This window comes from Homo sapiens, chromosome 4, assembly GCF_000001405.40.
Source record: "Homo sapiens chromosome 4, GRCh38.p14 Primary Assembly".
NCBI classification, from domain to species: domain Eukaryota; kingdom Metazoa; phylum Chordata; class Mammalia; order Primates; family Hominidae; genus Homo; species Homo sapiens.
This window is the reverse complement of record NC_000004.12, coordinates 21,677,661-21,701,262: the sequence shown is the minus strand read 5'-3', so window position 1 is coordinate 21,701,262 and position 23,602 is coordinate 21,677,661. Positions and strand designations below refer to the sequence as shown.

General features: G+C 37.4%; 1 protein-coding gene across 5 annotated transcripts in view; it reads left to right on the top strand.

Moving 5' to 3' along the window:
* Window positions 1-23,602, top strand: part of KCNIP4 (potassium voltage-gated channel interacting protein 4) — a 1,220,167-nt gene that overhangs the window by 247,510 nt on the left and 949,055 nt on the right. For 2 of the 5 annotated variants that reach the window (NM_001035003.2, XM_011513885.4), the window contains exon 1: window positions 3,523-3,913. The exons of the other annotated variants lie outside the window; for them this stretch is intronic. In NM_001035003.2, coding sequence (NP_001030175.1) covers window positions 3,826-3,913 — 88 coding nt within the window. In that variant the 5' untranslated portion in view covers window positions 3,523-3,825. Of the gene's footprint in view, window positions 1-3,522; window positions 3,914-23,602 lie in introns of those variants that run through there. 5 annotated transcript variants of the gene reach the window in all.

Sequence of the window (23,602 nt, the reverse complement as noted above, 5' to 3'; positions counted from 1 at the left end):
GCCCTTCCCTCTCATCCTCTGGTAAATACCATTCTACTCTTTGTTCCTATGAGTTCAACTTTTCTAGATTCCACATATAAGTGAGATCATACTATATTCGTTGTTCTGTGCTTGGCTTATTTGACTTAGCATAGAACATCCTTGAGTTTCTTCCATATTATCACAAATGATAGAATTTCCTAATTTGTATAAGGCTGAATATTATTCCAATGTGTATATATACCACATTTTTTTATTCATTCATTTGTTGATGGACACTTAGGTTGCTTCTGTATCTTGGCTATTGTGAATCATGATGAAATGAACATGGAAATGCAGATATCTTTTTGACATACTAATTTAATTTTTTATATATATCCCCAGAAGTAGTTTTGACAAAGGTGCCCAGAACACACCATGGGGAGAGGACAGTGTCTTCAATAAAAAGTGTTGGGAAAACTGGATAACCATATGTAGAAGAATGAAACTGGACCTTTATCTCACATCATATACAAAAATATTAACTCAAAATAGATTAAATACTTAAATGTAAAACCTGGAACTGTGATACTACTGAAATATAGGAGAAAAGCTTCAGGACATTGGTATGGACAATGATTTATCATATAGGACCCCAAAAGCACAGACAATAAAACAAAAATAGAGAAATGAAATTGCAGCAAACTAAAAAGCTTCTGCACAGCAAAAAACAAACAAAAAAAAACAACAAAAACACAGTGAAAAGATAACCCACAATTGGGAGAAAATATTTGCAAACCATACATCTGATAAGGGGTAATATCCAAAATATGTAAGAAACTCAAATAGCTCAATAGCAAGAAAACAAATAATGCATTTTAAAAAGTGGGCAAAGGACCTGAACAGGCGTTTATCAAAAGAAGACATACAAATGACCCGCAAGTTCCTGAAAAAACATTCAACATCCCTGATCATCAGGTAAATGCAAATTAAAATCACAATGATCTATCACTGCATATCTGTTAGAATGGCTATTAGCCAAAAGACAAAAGATAACAAGTATCCTAAGGGTGCAGAGAAAAGGGAACCTGCATATACTGTTGTTGGGAATGTAAATTATAATAGTACAGCTATTTTAGAATACAGTATGGAGTATCTCAAAAAACTCAATTATCATACGATCCAGCAATCCCATAGTATTTCTATGTCATCAACTCATTAAATTTACCCATTCAGTTATTCATGTCCCAAACTAATTCATTCTTAATTCTTTTCTTTCCCTCATGTCCCTATTCAGTGTACCAAATTGTACTGATTCTGTTTTCAATTATATCCAGAAACTGACTACCTGTATTTCCACTCCAGGCCATGCCACCATTGTTTCTCACCTGGGCCACTGTGATGCCCCCTCACATGTGTTCCTTCTTCCACTCTTGCTCCCTGGCAGTTCATCCTTTTCATAGCAGGCAGATCACACAAGTCCCCTATTCCCTAGAGTGGCTTTCTGGCAAAGAGACTGAAATCTAAATCCCTTACCCCAGCTATAAGGCTTCACATACTGTAGCCCCGGACTTTATCCATGAAAATGTCTCCCAGAAGTCTCTCCTGGCTCAGCATGTTTCAGCAGCCACACCCTTCTCTCTGTTCCTTAAGGATGCCAAGCTCATTCGCAGCTTGGCGTATTTGCATAAGCTGTTTCCTCCACCCAAGGTGCCCTTTACCCTAAACATCTCACGGTCAGTTCCTTCTTGTAATTTAAACTCCTACTTAACTTCTTTTCTTAGAGACCTCTTTCCTGACCTCTCAACCTACTCACTTTCTATTCTGCCAGCTGGTTTTAATGTTCTCTCCTGGTTCAACAGCACTTACTCATATGGGATATGTTCTTATTTATTATTTGATAACCTGATGTTTTCTTTGTTTAGGTGTAAGCTGCATGAGAACAGAGGCTTTGCCTTTCTCAGTTACCACTGTTTTCCCAGCACATAGAACCATGTCTGGAACATAATAGGTGTTCAGTATAGAATTGCTACATCTATGAATAAAAGTGCTGTGCTTAAGGTTGTCCATTCCCTATCTTATTTTACTCTCCAACAAGTAAATAAAATATGCATTCTATTCCCACTTTTGTAGATAAGGAAATGGGGTGTTCAACTAATTAAACCAACTGTTGAACTACAATTGTGTATTTCTTCTGCCTATTTCAAACTTAGGGATGCCATCACTCATGGTAAATGTGTAGGAGAAAGAACTTCAGAAAGCACGTTGCTGATTTTTGTGTATGAGTCTATTTATATCTTAAATAATTTCAATTAAAGTTCTGAAAATTCCTAGAATGCATGCTTTGTTATTCCATTTAAATGGTTAGAATGGTTAGAACCCTGAGACTGGTGGGAATGGGGAAGAGTTCTAGAAGAGAATGAGTTTCCATTCAATGTGTTTCAGTCTATGAGTCCAGGAGTTCTTTCTTTAGTGTAGAAGAACATAATTTCTTATGTAGTACTGTTGGGAATTATCAGTTTCAACTAGAATTATTGCAACTGTCAGAAAAAGAAGCCAAAAGGCCTGTCTAGGTATTTAAAATATGGCCCCATCTGTGCTAAATCTCACAGATATAATATTTATATTTATTCAGAATAAACAAAAATAAACAAACTCTAGGAGTATAAATTAAGAGTGTAGACAAATCCCGAAAACTGCCTAAGGCACTTAAGAATTCAGGAAAACCACTTTTTCAGAGAAGGCAAGCCTGTAGTTTTCTGGCTTTCACAGCAACTGCCTCTATCCCAATGTCTTAAAAGGAAAGTACTTTGTGAAAATTGCAAATCCTTGCAATTGTTCTGGCTATTAACTTTAAAAAAGTTGATTGGTAGGGAGATGGTTGTGTTTGCCTTTTTGAAATATGAAGAAACTGAGGCACTTCTTTCTCTTAGGACAACGCAGTAAATTAGTTTTGGAGCTCTGTTGCCTGGAGGCAATGTAAAGGGCTTAAGATTTCTGGTTTCTAGGCTACTGTGTTTTAAAGGAGACAATTATGTATCCTAATTTCCAAATACCTGAGCCCGCGCTGTGCAGAAAATGTAGCCAGTTTTAAGAAACAGCTTGTTTTCTCCCTCTAAGCCCATGAAGAAGAATACATTTATCCCTGACAAAATAGCATTGTCCCCATTTGGTGGTAAATCGTCAAGTCTGTTTAGAATCAGGGTCAGCTTCTCAAATGAGCCTTTCCCCCATGTAGCCTTCCTGAATCTGATTAACACTGTGTCAAGGGAGTTGTCTGATGTCTGACCTTGAGCAGCATGCTTCCCTCTCCCCACCTCCTTTTTTTGGGAATCATTCATTTTGTACAGCCTCGGGCCCTGAGATTCCTCCCCAGCAGGCTGGAGTGCACTCGCAGGTTCCCTTTATTGGTATCGGAAGGGTTTCAGACCCAGTGACCTGTCATCTGTCTTCTCACCTGCTTACATGCTGATTCACTGATGAGCTGGCATCGCAGGCCCCGCCTCCCTCTGAATGGTCTGTGAGGTTGCAACTGCTTCTGGAGAGGGGATGCCGAGCCGAACCAGAGCTGGGTTACTACAAGTGTGAACCGGCAGCCTGTCTGTTGCCACAGAAGAACTTGGTCACCACACTGAGAAGCCGTGTTTTCTCACCTCCCTGTTACTGTTGTAGCTGTATCTGGCTTCTCTAGCATTTTAAAGGAATTTCTGATTGAGGCGCTAACAGCTAATTCCACAGGAGTTGTAAGGCAGCCTGTGCATAAACTGAGACAGAAGTTTCTCCTCAGAGACTCTCTTTTTATTATTATTATTATTATTATTGGCAAAGACTTCTGGCTCTCCTCAGAGGAATACCTTGTTGCTTAAGATGAGTGGCTGTAGAAAGCGGTGTAAACGTGAAATACTGAAATTTGCCCAGTACCTTCTCAGACTATTAACAGGTTCTCTTCATACAGGTAATGACTTTTTTTTTTTTTTTTTTTTTTTTTAGTAGAGGCTAGTAGAGCATGGTAATGAAGTTGAAATGGAATAGGAAAGGCTATTTCTTTGTTGTGATTATTTTTAATGTTGTCAATAAAATGCAACTGTATTTGCTGAGATTTATGTTTCTAAAAATGTGTGCAGTGCAGCTCTTTTGGGGGTAGAACTGACTTCTATGGATGTATTTTTTTTATCTCTTCAAGGCAGTGTTCTTGGTAAATTTCAGGAAACAGTATCTGCAGAGTAGAAAGATTTTTTTTTTAAATACATGATTGTGCAAGGGGTTTTTCTCTTCTTTCCTGATTGCTGCAGTTTACTTGAAAAGCACACAGATTTTCTTCCTGCAGATATTTAGAAATTCTCTAGAACTGTTTGATTATTGTAATCCATAGATTATTTCCCATGTGTTTGATCATAGGGCTTGGCCGGGAAAGAGTTAAGGATATTTCTTTTGGATCTCTGGGTTCCTTGCAAAATGTGAGCAAAATATGAAAACAGCTGAAGAGTAAAATGTCCATGTGAGGTTTCATATTTGTTTCATTGCAGTGGATTTCAATGTTTAAAAATTTTCATGATTGAAATAGAAATTCTATTTAAATCTAAGTGTTGATAGCAAGAAAATATTTTTAATATGTTCCAAAATTATGAGGCTAAATCAACAGTTTTGTTGCTCATGAAATTCCTAGGCAATGCCGTCATTAAATTAGTGACAGGTGGGACTAAAATACTTGACACTGATAATATATATATTTTTTAACAGATCATCAAACTTCTGAGAGACAAATCTTGGTTAACAGGACACACACTTTGATTCTGGTCATAAAGAACTGTTGTGAGCTTTATTTTTCAAATACTGACCTATATTTGTTTTCTTTAATCTAAATAAAGAGAAAAAAAGAGTAAAGAAACTCACACACTGTAAGTAAGGATGATGTAAGGATGATGTGCCATTTATGATATCGTGTCACATTTGACAATGAGCAAGAGGTGATCTTGTGCTGATATAAAGCTGAGAGATGAATTTGAGCAACATTTTACCTAAGAAAGTAAAGTCTTGGCGATAATTAACTAAACTGCATATACAATTATGTTAGTGTAATAAGGGAAAACCATTTTAAGAGAGTAACTGACAATCAAATGATTTTAGAGAGCATCATCAAATATTAATAGATATTAAGAGGATTGTTAACATCCTAATGTTAATTTCCTGTTAATATCCGCATTTTAATCTTTAGGTAATGTGAATTGTGGTGACTTTGGATATTCTTTAAGGAATAATCATTGAGAGTCTGTATCTGACTTTTGCCAACTCGGAGCTCTGTGGTGTTTCTCACGCAGTCTTCACCTTTAGATTACAAATGTTTAGTCCCATCACTATGACTTTGACATTACCTGCATATTAGCTTTAAACATTCAAGTAAGGATGATGTGCCATTTATGGTATCATGTCACATTTGAAAATGAGCAAGAGGTGATCTTTTACCTTGCTATGAAATTAGAGAAATATTTTATAAAAGAAAGCTTTCCATGAGGTTTCCATGGTTGTCTGTCCTTTCCTCTCTGATAGGGCAATCCTAAGGTTCTGTCTGTTTCTGACTGGATTTAGGTACAGTTTTCTGCCTGTCTAGCTCATTCTGTTTGTTGAATAGTTTTCTTAAACTTTTGATTTCAAAGAATTTTACGAAAATGGTAAGTGGTTGGGAAACTGTAAACCATAAGTATTAAATCCAAAACACTGTGGTTGGTACTTTATCACTGGATGGTACTTTATAATATGGAAATTATGGAAAGCTGGTATAGCAGTAGTATTTTAAGCTTTATTCAATGCGTATTTGGAAATCACTGTAAGTGGGATTGCTTTCTTCTTTTTGAACCACAGGAGGAAAAAAAAAAAGAAGAAGCACAGCATCTTTGAACTTTGAGAACAAGGACCGACAGATTATCATAAAGTAGTAACATAGATTTATGACCTGAGAAATGTGATTGCAGCAACCTGTTTCTTGTAAAAATTCTTTTCGGCTCAGTCTCTAATACTAAATTTTGTGATATCCAGCCAGAATCTTTACAACTACTCAAAATGCGACTTGGAAAAGCCAATTTATGCATTTACTAGATGCTGTGATAATATACACCATTCATATTACAGAGTCTAATGTAAAATTCATTAGGACACTTTCAAGTCCCTTAGCTAGTAATTAATGAAGAAGTAGGAAACAGAGTTGAACTAGCTTAAAAAATTTCCTTTAAGGTTGGATATGCAGGCAGCTGCTAATTGTATCCTGAGCAATCAGCATGTATCTTTGTAGTTATCAAAAATTTAAAACAACACGAACATGTCTTGGGTGATTTTTTTTCTTTTTACCAAAAAGCCCTTTATTTATTTATTTATTTTTATTTTTTTTTTTTTTTTGGTCAATCGTGTTATCTGAGGAAACGGTGATTTTGTTTTACATTTGAAAACAAGTTAATTCCAAAATATATAATTTTATTTTTGGCAGCTGCTTCTCATTTGATACCACAATGGGCCATTTATACAAACATAGAATATTGGAAGTGCAAAGAAATTTTTGTGGATACAAACTTTCCTTCAATTTGTCTTATTAGTGTTATCACAAGTTACAGAAAAGCAATTTCCTTTTGTGAGAGCTTTTCATGTAAGTTGTGGCAGTGTCTAGGATTGCTTACAAATTAAAAATTTAATTTGATTTCTAAAATAATTTTTTTAGAGAGTACAGATTCAAAAGTAAAGATTTGTCCAGCTAAAATAAGATACATCTATTTTCCCTGAAACTTCCTACATATTTTTTATCATGGCAGATCACTTCTCAAAGAGTGTATTTTACAAACATATATAATGTCTGTATTTATCATAAAAACATATGCTTTTTAAAAGTTTATTTGTTATGTATAGCAAATCACAGAAATCCATATGCAAATATTACAAGTTAATGGCCTCAGTTCACTGTAGGATCAATTTTCCTATTTTCTTCTCAGCTTGAGATCTGCCTCTTGATGTACCATATCATATTCAATTCTAGATGGGGCTCATGCTACCCAATATATTCTTGTACACCTAAATAAATGGAGATAGGTCTTAGGATTGCTCCAAGAATACGACACTTCTATTTGTGTATGATAGGAACCCATACAACACCCTATCATATGAATGCTGCCCCATTGAGAAGGATGAATGTTATTGCAGATATCATGTTTTGAACTGTTTCTTCTTTATGTGTGAAATTTAATATTGTCATGTTTTAGGGTACTTATTTGAAGGTTGTTTTGACATTTTTCAATATTCTGTACATTGTTTTCTTGAAAAATCAAGACCTGAACACATTTTTCCATTATCAAGAATTCCCCAAATATACGTGTGAGGTGAATATTGCCTGGAGCTCTGTTTCAGGCTTCAGGTCTGAAAGTTATAGGCATGTCCAAGTTCAATTCTCCACCTAAGGGAAGCAAAAGCAATTTAAACCCAAAAATTCTGTGAAACACTGAATTGTTTAACTAGTGTGTTAAAGTATTTCAAATTTTGTGAAATTATATTATTAAAAGCAGGAGGTAAGAATTCATCATTCCATCAAGTAGAGAGCTTTAGATTAACGGATGAGAGGGAGAGATGATGCACATTTGTCCATTTGTTTCACAAGTTTTCTTTGAGTGGTTTCCAGCCTTAAAATTGACATCACTGAAGTTATTGTGGGTCAAGCCACCACAGGCTAGTCATATAAAGACTTATTTATTTATTTATTTATTTTTGAGACGGAGTCTTGCTCTATCACCCAGGCTGGAGTGCAGTGGTGCGATCTCAGCTCACTGCAACCTCCACCTCCTGGGTTTTAATCAATTCTCTCTGCCTCAGCCTCCCGAGTAGCTGGGATTACAGGCGCTCTCCACCAAGCTCTGCTAATTTTTGTATTTTTACTAGAGACGAGGTTTCGCCATGTTGGCCAGGCTGGTCTTGAACTCCTGACCTCAAGTGATCCACCCACCTCAGCCTCCCAAAGTGCTGGGATTATAGGCATGAGCCACCGTGCCCAGCCTTAAATATTTTAAATATTTTTTATACTACATTTTTGAAGTCTGAAGAGAAGCAGAAACTCTGAAAGTAGGAGGAAAATGAGACCAGCATTTTTTTCTTCCCTGAGCTTTCTTCCTAACAGGCCTCTGTGGGTAGGCTATATTCCTGTACTCAAGGCCACCACTCTGTCTGGAAGAGGTGATCCTAAGCAAAATCGGAGACTTGAACAAAGTTTGTTTCTGGCTGTGTGCCCTTCCATTTTCTGTTCTCTTCTTTCTCCCTGGAGATGATAGAACACAGAATCATATTTCCAACCTCTCTCTCCTATGTACTCTCTCATCCCCCAGCCCAGCCACATTTACACATAGGGCAGACACATCTCACACAAAGGAAGTACCCCTAAAGACCTCACATAAATAAACACTAGCAAAATTCAAGTTGAATCTTGGCAAAAAAAAAAAAAAAAAAAAAAATGACAGGATTTTCTATTTCCCAGTTCAAGTGGCCCTGACATGTGGCAGTCAAATACACAGTTTATATTCTCTTGGCCCGCATGCTCTGAAATTATGCTATTGCTGATTTATTTTTTTTCAACTTTTTAATCTATTCTTTCAAATTTTGCTGATAAAACAAGATTATATTTCTTAAAGCATCATGTAAAATTTTTATTATTCAAATGCATATAAAATACCACCATGTTACACTGTTTTCTTTTGCTCTTTCTTCCATTGAAACCTATTCTGAAGCTAAAAGAAAGCAAAGAAAAATGATGTTTACACTTGACTGCCAATGAATTTATGGCACTGTGTTACTTTTCCCAACAGAGTTTACATTTTCAACTTTATCAGGATAATTATTTTGTCCTGTTTAACTTTATAATCAGGATTAAAGGGACGTTTGTGGGGAATTCATGGTCTTGCTTAATCTTCTTATAATCTGCCATTTCTGCCAAATCTGATTACATGATCTCTGATTTAAACAAACAAAACACTTATATATACAGATTACTGGTTGCCTTCTTTAATTTCAGAAAGAAATTTGCATGTTAATGTTTTATTACATTGCAAATTATGTTCTTTTTCCTATAATTAGCATAGTAGGTAAGCTTGCAGGGTTAAAGCCTCTTTCCCAAAGAAGACTGTTTTTATCATTGTCATAACTTTAAAGTAGTAAGTGGTCTGATCTCACAGTCTTAGACGTGGTAAACTCTTAAAACTCACTTGTTGACTGGTTGGCTAAATTAATCAACATGTTTCACGAGGTCTAAAGGGAGGAGCTCATGTTCATAGAAAGAGTTGCATTTGGCCTGGTGCGGTGGATCACGCCTGTAATCCCGGCACTTTGGGAGGCTGAGGTGGGTGGATCACCAGGTCAGGAGTTTGAGGCTAGCCTGACCAATGTGGTGAAACCCCATCTCTACTAAAGATACAAGAAGTTAGCTGCGCATGGTGGCGGGTGCCTGTAGTCCCAGCTACTCAGGAGGCTGAAGCAGGAGAATCACTTGAATTCTGGAAGCGGAGGTTGCAGTGGCCAAGATGGCGCCATTGCACTCCAGCCTGGGCAACAGGGTGAGACTCTGTCTCAAGAAAAAAAAAAAAAAAAAAAAAAAGAGCTGCGTTTGCCCCTCTTGCTAAAGGTAATCAGAGCTTTCTTACCAGAAACTTCAGCACTTACACATCAGTGCCTCGTTTAAGTACTTAAAGAAACGTTTAAGTTTCACAATACAAGACAAAGACTACCGAGGATATTATACATCGATTGTGATCTGTATCAGTTCTGTTTCTGGCAGGAATGAGATCTTACACTCCAGAAAAGAATTTGATAAAGTGACTCTATATTGGAGCAATAAGGGGTAATGTGTATGCTCCAGCTGGTAACAGTAAACTATTGAAGAGGCAAGAGATAGGAACCATTTCCAGAGCCTGGAGAGGAAACCTGTGTCTAGAAAGCTTCCAGACAGAGTGGTGGCCTTGAGTACAGGAATATAGCCTACCCACAGAGGCCTGTTAGGAAGAAAGCTCAGGGAAGAAAAAAATGCTGGTCTCATTTTCCTCCTACTTTCAGAGTTTCTGCTACTGCTTCCATTGTCTGACCCCATCCTAGGAACCTGCGGGAAAGCTACTCTAAGCAGGAGAAATATGTTCATAGCAGTATTGATTATTTTATATTCACTCACCACTGGTATTACCACTGACTGGGCTTTTTTATTTAAAATTACTCACAGTGGTCATGTTGCTTCCCCTCAAAAGATATTGAAAGTGGCATGAGCAAGCTAATCATATCTGTGGGTCATGCAGAGGTTCCTATCATTCTACCACATCGTTTGCTATCATTGTTTATCTTTTACTTTGACAGTAAAACTTCTCTCAAATATTTCTCTGTATGTTTTTTTACATTCCAGAAGTAAAGTAAACCTATACATTCAAACAAACTGACTCTGTATTCTGAGAGAATGTCATTATAATCAGCTAAATTAAATGATATTTGAAAATAATGTGATGTTTGTTATTATGGGAAGATGTTATTACAACTCAGTGAGATACGGCTATGGTTTGTGTTTGTTAGGCACATTGATGGCTGTGTTACTCTGTTTTGCATTGCTGTAAAGGAATACCTGAGGCTGGGTAATTTATAAAGAAAAAATATTTACTTGACATACGGTTCTGCAGGCTGTACAAGTATTGCACCAGTATCTTCTTGGCTTCTGGTGAGGCCTCAGGAAGCTTACAATCATGGTGGAAAGTGAAAGGCGAGCAGATGTGTCACATGGCAAGACAGGAAGCAAGAGGAGAGGAGGTCCCAGATTCTTTTTAACAATCAGATCTGTCAGTAACTCATTACACTGGGGAGGGCACCAAGCCATTCATGAGGGATCTAGCCCCATGATCCAAACAACTCCCACTAGCCACCACCTCCAACACTGGGATCACATTTCAACATGAGATTTGGAGGGGACAAAACATCCAAACCATATCAACATCTTTTCTTGGATGAAGTTTATTTTCTTTCCAACACTGTTTTTCCAGTATTGGGATACATTTGTGGGCTTGGGAAGGTAAGATCTGAGGAGCTTCCCTTAACTGTGGAAGAAAAGTCCAACTGACCATGACAGAGATCATCGTTGATGTGTATATTTACGTATGTGTGTGTGTATATATATATATATAATATAAAATATATATATAATATATGTATATATATACATATATATGTATATTTGCAATATAAACTAGTTTTACCAACAAATCAGTTTTTAGCAAGTCCCTACAAAATATGGCTCTATGCTTAACGTTATTTATTTCTCCTTCCTAATAGAGATATAGCAGTGACATCAGGATGTCTCAAGGTGTTCTTTATTTGGGGCTAATGTTCACTTTATGTTTTTAAAGGAGGGTGAATAAAACCCTGCAGTAGATCAACATGTAATAATGTCTGAGGATGGCCAGTGAATCATTATTTTCCAACTTCAGGAAGAACAAATATGAGAGTAGGACTGAATCAGTGGCCAGGGTGGGCATAGAAGTACTGTGCCAAGGTTTGGCATAAGGGAGCATTTCATCGTTCTATATCATCATAAAAAGCATTTCGTCATTTGACACCCTTCTTTACTTATCTCATATCTGAACTATCAGGCTTTGTTTTGCTTCCTCTAATGTCTTTTCATCATAGTCTTAATGACAATAATATAAATATATTACATCATAACTGAAAAAGTTTATATTCTGAAAATGTGTTCCAGGAGAGCTATTCTCTCTGCTCAACCCCCAGCCATCTTTCTGAGAGGCAACAGCACAGCATAGAGCTGTGTTGGAATTCCAGCTTTTAATTCCTAACCTCACAATTGGGAAGACCAATTAGATGACCCCTCTAAGCTGGGTCATCGCATCTGTAAAATGGGGATCTTTGTACAATTATTTCTGTTGCTGGCACACGTTTAACAAATTTGTCGCTATTACTGATCTGTTATCTATAGGATGTTCTATTAGTTTTATTCAAATTAAATTTTCACTAAAAATAATTGAAATACCTAATCATTATTATGCTTCCTGGTAATTAGGAATAAATAGAAAGGTACCTATATAAATGACTGTGATTTTTAAACTCACTTGCCTTTAATTGTATTAGTTTTCAATAACTACAATAGCCATTTATTCATTCAACCAACATTTATTAAGTGCTTGTTAAGAGCTGAGTCTCGTGGTTCTGCTGAACTATTTCTTCATGATTCCCAGTTGCCCTGTCAACCTGCCAGTACAGCAAATAAATATGAAGCAGTTAACTCAACCAACCAACATATGCTAAGATTTCAAAAAGCAGAGGAAAACTATCTCTTACTATTTCAGTCAAGGACAATTTTAGGCAAGGACAATGGGCAAGGTAGGTGAAGCAACGGGACTGTAAAATATGTTCCTCTGAAAAAATTAGAAAGAAAGAGGCTTATGAGAGGGGAGCCAAGCAGGAAAGGCAAGGAAGCAGCTGGGGAGAGAGAGGATTAGTGGGATTATTTGTAGGAACAGGAAGTTTTGCTAAAAAGCTAAATGGTCCAGACAACCCGATTGCTGCAGAAACCACTGGCCAAGCCCAACAGAGGGTCCTGTTGTCTGCCTGGAGCAAATTTCCATGGCTTTTTGAGTGGTCAGGTAGGAAATATTGCATTTTATCAATTAAACACCTGTTCAGATCCTATTTTCTTTCCTTGGAACCCTGCTTCATTCTGTAATGTATATTGATTTATTTTCTTTTTGAGCTCTGATAGTACAAGTTGTCTGTCCCATATTGTTCAGCATTTAATTACTAGTCAACCCTGTATATTGAACAGATTCAGGTGTTCAAGTTTTATCTCAGGTAGATCAGTATCTTCTAAAAGACAGAAAACCTGGTTCAGTATCTCATCATTGAAATGCTTGGATCAGCAGTGTTTTGGTTTTTGGACTCTTCTGGATTGTGGAATATTTGCAGAATATATACTGGTTCAGCATTCCTAATTTGAAAATCTGAAATCCAAAGTGCTCCACTGAGCATTTTCTTTGAGTGTCCATTGAGCATTCAGAAAGGCTCAGATTTTGGAGCAGTTTGGATTTCATATTTTTGGATTAGGGATACTCAACCGGTAATACTTAATTAACCAGCTGTACCCAAACACAGTGTGTACTGCACAGTAGTTGCTTTAAAATATAGATTATTTCTTTATGGTATTGTGAGAGGATATCATAAATAAATATAAGTTTCTTTGCCCATGTAATTTAATGTGTTCATTTCTGAATCACATTATTAGACTTAAGGTATACTATTGAGTATCTCACAGGGAGCCAAGCCCAAAGTACCAAACCTAGGGTGTGCTGGGGCTGAGGTATAAAATCAGGTTTGTCAGAATCTAAACTACGTCTTTGTTTGACTACACAGTTTTCCCCTCTCAAATTCAAATTCACCCTTAAGAGCTGTGTGATTACTTTAATTCTCAGCTCAGATATCACCTAGTGAGACATTTCCTGATCATCCAGTCCAAAAGAACCCCTCCCATACATATTTTCATATTATCATTGTTTTGAAATTTCTTTTACAGAGAGGGTCACCAAAACTAGGACATTTTTGAGAGTAAAAAGAGGCAATCTTAATCATCACAGCAGGAAAACAGGCACAAATCCAAACTGTCCCACACAAGCTGGGAGGCATTGTAGTTTTCTCCATAAAAATTACCACTACCTAAAATAACATAGAATATTTACAAATGTCTGTAAAAGTGGAATATAAACTTTTTAAAATAATTATGGGTTTTTTGTTGTTTATTATCGTAATCCAGTGCCTAGACCATACTGGTGCACAGTCAATGTTCATTACATAGTCATTGGAAGTGCTACAAAATTGAACAACACCAGTGCTTTTAAGGGGACAAAGCTACACCATCTCCTGCCTATTTCTTTGCGTATCTTTTCCCAGGTTGGTAGAATTGTGACTTCCTAATCACTTCTTTTTTTTTTTTTTTTATACTTTAAGTTTTAGGGTATATGTGCACATTGTGCAGGTTAGTTACATATGTATACATGTGCCATGCTGGTGCGCTGCACCCACTAACGCGTCATCTAGCATTAGGTATATCTCCCAATGCTATCCCTCCCCCCTCCCCCCACCCCACCACAGTCCCCAGAGTGTGATATTCCCCTTCCTGTGTCCATGTGATCTCATTGTTCAATTCCCACCTATGAGTGAGAATATGCGGTGTTTGGTTTTTTGTTCTTGCGATAGTTTACTGAGAATGATGATTTCCAATTTCATCCATGTCCCTACAAACGACATGAACTCATCATTTTTTATGGCTGCATAGTATTCCATGGTGTATATGTGCCACATTTTCTTAATCCAGTCTATCATTGTTGGACATTTGGGTTGGTTCCAAGTCTTTGCTATTGTGAATAATGCCGCAATAAACATACGTGTGCATGTGTCTTTATAGCAGCATGATTTATAGTCATTTGGGTATATACCCAGTAATGGGATACTAGAAATACCATTTGACCTAATCACTTCTGATCTTGGCTACTTCAGCTGCTCATTCTAATCTGTGTTATGGTTCTGTTCTATCTCTACCTGGTACTTCTTCCAATCATAAAAAATGGTTATAGATGATTGAGAGCTTTGGAAGTGTGAATTCTCTCTAACTGTACACATTTTTAAATGGGGTAGGTCCTGTATATTTGCTCATTTATTTAAAAAGTCATACATCTTATGGTTGATTTATGTATAAATGTCAATGTATTTGTATTTTCTCATTTTTCTACGGGGAACATAGTATATGTATAATAGTTGAATTTTAATGTTTTTAAAATAAAAAATACATAGTTATATCTCTATAAGATAAACTAATAAATTAATATTAGAAATTTATAGGTTCTTCCCATCTTCAAATACGGTAAAATTACTGGAAACAGATACCGCCTTGGCTGTACTATCATTTTAGAGATTTTACACACACAAAAAAACATATTACCATGCTTTGAGTAAAGTATTACCAGGCTTTAAGTTGATCTGTTCTCTAGCTGCAGTTTTCTTCTCCTGGAGAAAGTAGTAAATCTTCCGAGCTCAATATTATTACCTCTACAATGGGAAGATTTTTATTTTTCAAGACCACCAGATTAGGATAAGAGACTTAATGCCTACCAAATCAGTCACATTCCTGTTCTATAACATGTTAAGATACATAGAGCCTGTTTTATGATGGGAGATACAAAAAGAATTTCCTAATCATCTTGTAATTCCCTGAGCCAAACAAAAGTCAAAAGGCTTTAAAGAACTAGGAAGCCAGTTCTATAAAAAGCTTTTAGAACTTTAAAGATCAGTTTTATGCTGTGTCTACTGAATTCCCCCAAGGGAAACTATACAGCCAAGTGCTGGGTATGTTCCCAAATACATGCAAATGTTCCTTCCAATGATGCCCTCCTAGCCTATCTTCAAGTAAAAGCACAATCCCTGAACTTAGAAGGTTGAGAAACTTGTTTGCACTCAAAGTGGTACAAGTCCTTAACACAATGGCAACAATATAGACAACATTGTGTTTATCATGTCACTCATATAAACGAATTTTTTGTGTCAGAATATATTCTTGGATCATAGACACGTTACATCTCAATGGATCTTAAAAATCATTTGGTCTCCTTTCTTTATTTTCGGAAGAGACAACTGGACCTGAGTTATTCAAGTGATTTTACTAAGGTCATAACAGCTAATTGGTCCACGTACTGATTATTACTCTCCCATTCCACAAGCACATTGCTCTCACAACCTTACATTGTGACAAGTGCCTCAGGTGGTGGCTTGGTGGGGTAGAAACACTTAGACCTGGCAAAGAAAATGACTTGAACTTTTATCTTTGCACCATCACGTCTTAGCAGGTGACCTTGGACAAGTTTATATTCCCCCCATGATATCAGTTTCCTCATTGGAAAAATAAAGTGATCCCAATTCAAGGTTCTGCTGAGTACTTTTACAAGCCAGCATTTGTAAGGACAGTGGCTGGAATCAGTACTCATTCAAACAGCACTAAGTCCTGTTTCAGATACTTATAAATCGGTGTAGTGTATTATGTAAAACATTATGCAATTATTTTAAATTCCTTAGAAAATGTTAAAATGTGTTCACTTTCTATTGATTTTAAAATGTTCAAAATTAGGTAGAACATATGACTCAAAGACTTCCTTCATAAATGATAAAATTATACATTAATATACTTAAAGGGTTTTACTTAATTATGCTTTATTACTCTCCTACCAAAAGATATTTCCTACCCAAAAATGTCAGATGACTTGTATATTATACAAATATGTGCAATATGTATTCTTGCTAACACTTTTTGAGTCTAAACTCCTTAATTTTCAAAAAATTTGTAATTAAGTTTGTTTTTATTGTTCAATTCCCACCTATGAGTGAGAACATAGTGGACACAGGGTGGGGAACATCACACACTGGGGCCTGTCATGGGGTCGGGGGAGAGGGGAGGGATAGCATTAGCAGATATACCTAATGTAAATGACGAGTTAATGGGTGCAGCACACCAACATGGCACATGTATACATATGTAACAAACCTGCACGTTGTGCACATGTACCCTAGAACTTAAAGTATAATAATAATTTTAAAAAGTTTGTTTTTTTCACCAAAAATAAGATTAACTATTAATCTTGGCTTTTTCCTAGGATATAAAGTATAGTAAAAAAATTTTTAAACTACAATAACATGTAGAAATTAGTTACTTCACAAGCCAATATTAACAACCTACTCATTCTTTAAATTATTTATGAAATATTATAAAAGCATAACAGATTTGCGTAGATGTTAAAGTCCTAGTTTTAGGAAAGACAACCATATTTAATACATTTTATTATTTTATGTTTTAAATCTTCAAGTATTACCAGTGAAATAAGATGTAGAGAAGAATTTTATTATGAAATATGAATTTTAAAATTTCAGTAGGTATATCAATTTGACCAATGCACAAAGACTACCCTCTCAGAATTTAGAATAAGAAAAGTAGTCATGGGAAATGTGAAATCAGTCCATTCCAGCTTCTAAAACGCATAAGAATTCAGGTACATGCTGCTTCCTTTTATTTCATTTAACATGATAGCAGTATTTTTATTTTAAAGTAAGCATTTTTTATGTGCTTTACAGATTTATTTTTTTTAACTTTTATTTTAGGTTTGGAGGTACATGTGTTATATAAGTAAACTAGTGTCACTAGGGTTTGTTTTATGGAATTTCAGCAGCCAGATAGTAAACCTAGTACCCAATAGTTATTTTTTCTGCTCCTCTCCCTCCTCCCACCCTCCTCCCTCAAGCAGGCCCCAGTATCTGTTGTTCCCCTCTTCGTGTTCATGAATTCTTATCATTTAGCTCCCACTTAGAAGTGAGAACACGTACAGTCTCGAGTAACTGGGACAATGTGTATGCACCACAGGTATTTGGTTTTCTGTTCCTGCGTTAGTTTGCTAAGGATAATGACCTCCAGCTTCATCTGTGTTCCCACAAACGACATGATCTTCTTTAAAGTAAGCATTGTTTTTTAACTGGCAAGACAGTATACTATAGATCCTGATATCTGATATCTGTAGAACAATAGGTCTGTGCTTAAAATCTGGCTTCACCACCTCATCTCTACTAAAAGATACAAAAAATTAGCCAGGCGTGGTGGCGGGCGCCTGTAGTCCCAGCTATTTGGGAGGCTGAGGCAGGAGAATGGCGTGAACCCGGGAGGTGGAGCTTGCAGTGAGCTGAGACCATGCCACTGCACTCCAGCCCTGGGTGACAGAGTGAGACTCTGTCTCAAAAAAAAAAAAAAAAAAAAAAAAAAAAAAAAAAAAAAATCTGGCTTCACCAATCATTAGTCGTATGATCTCGGGCAAGTTACTTATGTTAGGTTCAGTGACCTTATCAATAAATTTGAGATAATGATAGTCCGACCTTCATGAGATTTTTGTTAGTAAAGGCAAGTGACATGAAGACTTAAAATAGAGCCTGACACAATGTGTAATTGTTCAGTAACAAGTGTTTTTATTGTAATAATTTTCCTAATTTCAGCTAAGGTCTGTTGTGTCTTTAATATGTGTGGCACATTCAGAAGGTATGGTAAGGGATTTTAAGATGCATGAGGCAATAGCTGCACCATAAAGGAGCTTGACATTTAGTGGAGAATATAAAACATACAGGCATGCCTCATCGTATTGTTCTTTGCTTTATTGCACTTCTCAGATACTGCATTTTTTACAAATTGAAGTTTCATGGCAACCCTGCCTTTTGCAATACTATCAGCGCCATTCTTCCAAAAACACATGTTCACTTCATGTTTCTGAGTCACATTATGATCGTTGCAATATTTCATAGTTTTTCATTATCATTATATCTTTTATGATGATCTTTGAGGTTACTATCGTAAGTGTTTTGGAGTGCCACCAACCATACCTATATGAGACAGTGAACGTAATCAATAAATGTTGTGTGTGTTCTGACTGCTACACTGACCAGCTATTCCCCATGTCTTTTCTTCTCCTTGGGCCTCCCTATTTCCTGAGATACAACAGTATTACAATTAGTTCAATTAATAACTTTTTAATGGCCTCTAAGTGTTCAAGGGAAAGGAAGAGTCACACATCTCTCACTTTTAAATCAAAAGCTAGAAATAATCAAGCTTAATGAGGAGGGCATGTCCAAAGCCAAAATAGCTGAAATCTCATGTCAAACTGTTAGTTAAGTTGTCACAGCAAAGGAAAAGTTCTAGTAGGAAATTAATATTGCTATTCTAGTGAAGACATGAATAGTAAGAAAGTGAAACAGCTTTATTGCTGATATAAAGAATGTTTTAGTGGTCCGGGTAAAAGATCAAACCTGCCACAACTCCCCCTTAAGCCAAAGCCTAATCCAGAGGAAGTCTCTGATACAGTTTGGATATGTGTCCCTGCCCAAATCTTATGTCGAGTTACAATCCCCAGTGTTGGAGGTGGGAGAAAATTGGATTATGGGGTGGATTTCTCAGGAATGGGTTAGCACCATCCCCTTGGTACTGTTCTCACAATAGTGTGTGGGTTTTTGCAATAGCTGGTCATTTGAAAGTGTATGGCATTGGCTGGGCGTGGTGGCTCACGCAGGTAATCTCAGCGCTTTGGAAGGCTGACATGGACATAATCACTTGAGGTCAGGAGTTCGAGACCAGCCTGGCTAACATGGTGAAACCCTGTCTCTACTAAAATTACAAAAAAAATTAGCTGGGCATGATAGTGCATGCCTATAATCCCAGACACTCAGTAAGCTGAGGTAGGTGAATCACTTGAACCCAAGAGGCAGAGGTTGTGATGAGCCAAGGCCGTACCACTACACTTCAGCCTGGGTGAAAGAGTGAGGCTCTGTCTCAAAAAAAATAAATAAATAAAAATAAAAAAAAAAGTGTGGCATTCCCCTCCCTCACTCTCTCTTACTTCTGCTTTTGCTCTGTCATGTGTCTGCTCCCTTTGCCTTCTGCCATGAGTGGAAGCTTTCTGAGGCCTCCCCAGAAGCAGATGCTGCTGTGCTTCCTGTACAGCCTGCAGAACGGTGAGCCAATGAAACCTTTTTTCTTTGTAATTTATCCAGTCTCAGGTATTTCTTTACAGCAATGCAAGAATGGTCTAATACAGGCTCTAACTCTCTTCAATTCTATGAATGCTGAGAGAAATAGGGAAGCTGCAGAAGAAAGTTTGAAGCTAGCAGAGGTTGGTTCATGAAGAAGCCATATCCATACCACAAAAGTGCAAGGTTAAAGAGCAAGTGCCGATGTAGAAGCCGCAGCAGCTTATTCAGAAGATCCAGCTAAGATCATTGATAAATGTTGTTCCTCTGAAAACCAAATTTTCAGTGTAGATGAAGAAGCCCCTGGCTGGGCACGGTGGCTCATGCCTGTAATCCCAACACTTTGGGAGGCCAAGGCAGGAGGAATACTTGAGCCCAGGAATTTGAGACCAGCCTGATCAACATAGTGAGGCCTTGTCTTTAAAAAAAAAAAAAAAATTAAAATTAGCCTGGCATGGTGGTGCACGCACGTTGTCCCAGCTACTCGAGACTGTACGTAGTCCCAGCTCCTTAGGAGGCTGAGGTGGGAGGGTTGCATGAGCTAGGGAGATCAAGGCTGCAGGGAGCTATGATCATGCCACTGCACCCCACCTGGGTGACAAAGTAAGACCCTGTATCAAAAAATAAAAATAAAGAAAAAGATTTATATTGGAAGAAGATGCCATCTAGGACATTTATAAGTAGAGAGAAGAATTCAATGCCTGGCTCCAAAGCTTCAAAGGGGAGACTGACTCTCTTTTTAGGGACTAATGCAGCTTATGACTTTAAGTTGCAGCAAATGCTTCTTTATCATTGTAAAAATCCCAGGGCCCTTAATAATTATGCTAAATCTACTCTGTCTCTGCTCAATAATGGAACAACCAAACCTGGATGACATCATGTCTGTTTATATCATGGTTTACTGTATATTTTAAGCCCAGTGTTGACACCTACTGCTTAGAAAAAATGATTACTTTCAAAATGTTACTGCTCATTGACAATGCGCCTAGTCATTCAAGAGCTCTGATGGAGATAGACAAAGAGATTAATGTTATTTTCATGCCTGCTAACACAACATCCATTCTGCAGCCCATGGATCAAACAGTAATTTTGACTTCCAAGTCTTATTACTGAAGAAGCACTTTTCATAAGGCTATAACTGTCATAGATAGTGATTCCTCTGATGATCTGGGAAAAGTAAATTGAAAACCTTCTGGAAAGGTTTCACCATTCTAGATGCCATTAAGAACATTCATGATTCATGACAGGAAGTCAAAACATCAACATTTGGGAGAAGTTCATTCTAACATTCATGGGTGACTTTGAGAGGTTCAAGCCTTCAGTGGAGGAAGTTGCTGGAGATGTGATGGAAATAGCAAGAAAACGAGGATTAGAAATGGATCATGGAGATGTGACTGAATTGCTGCCATCTAAAGAACAAACTTAAATGGATGAAGAGTTGCTTCTTATGGGTGAGTAAAGAAAGTGGTTTCTTGAAAGGAGTCTACTCCTCATGAAGATGCTGTGAACAATGCTGGAATGACAACAAAGAATTTAGACTGTTACATAAACTTAGTCAATAAACAGCAGTAGTGTTTGAGAGGATTGACTTTAATTTTGAAAAAAGTTATCTTGTGGGTAAAATGTTATCAAACAGCATCAGATGCTTCAGTTAAGTCCTTGATGAAAGAGTCAATCAATATGACAAACTTCATTGTTGTCTTATTTAAGAATTACACTAGACACCTCAAACTTCAGCAGCCACCGTCCTGATCAGTCAGCATTTGTCAGCATAGAGGCAAGACCCTCCATGAGCAAAAAATTACTTCTCACTGAAGGCTCAGATGATAGTTAGCATTTTTTAGCAATAGAGTATTTTAATTTAAGGTATGTCCATTTTTTAGACATAATGCAATAACACACTTCATAGACTACAGTACAGTGTAAACAAAACTTTTACGTGCACTGGGAAGCCAAGAAATTTGTATGACTCACTTTAATGTGATATTCACTTTATTGCTGTGTTCTATAATGGAACCTGCAATATCTCTGAGATATGCGTATATATAGAAAATTCAATACAGGCTTGAATGTATTAAGCACCACAAGAGAAAAACAGATAGTGTATTACTAGACTCCAAAGAGAAAGAGCACAGAGTGTTGGTGGCAAGAGATACATTCTTAGCATTGTTAATATTTGAGGTGGGTTTCACTGGCCATGGGTGTGGAGTTGGGGATTGGACCTCAGGAAGAGCCAAGAAACAAAGGCAGGGGATATAAGAGATGAATGCATTGCTAGGATTCAATTATCCAACAGGTATTCATTAAGTACCTATCCTTTGCTAGGTCCTCTTCTGCAAACTTTGGATACATCCATAAACAAAAGATCTTAGCCTCATGTAGTGGGGAGTCAGATAATACACATACTAAGCCAGTAAATTAAAATGCATGTCAGTAGATGATAAATACTCTGGGTAAATATACAATAGGATAAGTCGGTTTGGGAAGACTGTGGAGGTTAGAGTGTGCATTTGTTTAACGGGGCCATCACTATAAAATATCACAGACTACGTAGCCTAAACAACAGAAATTTGTTTTCTCACAGCAATTGAGGCTAGAAGTCCAAAGTCAGGGTATGAGCAGGTTGGATTTTTTTCTGAGTCCTTTCTCCTTGGCTTGCAGATGGCCACCTTGTCACTATGTCTTCATGCCATCTATGCTGTGTGCTTGTGTGCTCCTGGTATCTCCCTGTGTGCCTAAATTTTCTCTTCTTATAAGGAAATTGGTCAGATTGGATTAGGGCCCATCCTAGAGGCCTCATTTTAACTGAATCACTCCTTTAAAGATCTTATCTCTAAGTACAGTCACGTTCCGAGGTACTGGGAGTTAGGACTTCAACAAACAAGTTTGGGATGGGGAGGCACAATTCCGTCCATAACAGTGTGGTTGAAATTTAAATAGAGTAGTCAAGATAGACTATCAGAGAATGGCATTTGGTCAAAATCTTGAAGCAAGCAAGAGAAACATAGAAATATCTGGGAACACAAATTTCAGGCAGACAGGCCAGCCAGTGCAGAAGTCACAAGGCAGGCTGTGTTCCATGTGTTCAAGAAGCAGAAAGCATGTCAGTTTGCTGAAACAGAGGAAAACCAGGGAGTAAATGGAGAAGACAGAAGAAAGGCAAAGGGAAACAGATTATATGAGGCCTTTTAGGCCATGGTGAGGACCTAAGCACATGTCGTGAGTGGAATGGGGAACCACTGCAGCATTCTAAACACAGCAGTTACAATTAAGTTGTAGAGCAGAGGTCAGCAAACTACTGGCTGTGGGCTATATCCAGTCTATTGGCTGTTTTTTTGCATGGTCCATTAACTAAGAATTGCCTCTGCATTGTTAAATGATGGAAACCAAAAAAAAAAAAAAAAAATCAAAAGAAGATTTTATGACACTTGGAAATTATATAAAACTGAAATGTAATGTCTAATGATAAAGTTTGCATGAAACATGGCCATGCTCATTCATGTATATATTGCCTATGGCTTCTTTTGCATTATAATGGTAGTGTTGAGTAGTTGTAACAGAAACTGTCTGGCCCACAAAGCCTGCAATACTTACCATCTGACCCTTCACAGAGTAAGTTCTCTGGCCCATACTATGGAGGGTCAAGAATAGAAACAGTGGGGCCAGGCGCAGTGGCTCACGCCTGTAGTCCCAGCACTTTGGGACGCCGAGGCAGGCAGATCACCTGAGGTCAGGAGTTCAAGACCAGGCTGGTCAACATGGCGAAACCCCGTCTCTACTAAAAATACAAAATAATTAGCCAGGTGTGGTGACTCATGGCTGTAGTCCCAGCTTCTTGGGAAGCTGAGACACAAGAATCACTTGAACTCAGGAGGAGGAGGTTGCAGTGAGCCAACATCGTGCCGCTGCACTCCAGCCTGGGTGACAGAGTGAGACTCCATCTCAAAAAACAAAAGAATACCAACAGTGGGAAGAGTGGTGGCTGTGACTAGGGTGGTAGCAGTGGAGGCTGCAGTGGGAGTTAGAAAGCATTGCTGATATGGCAGAGTGA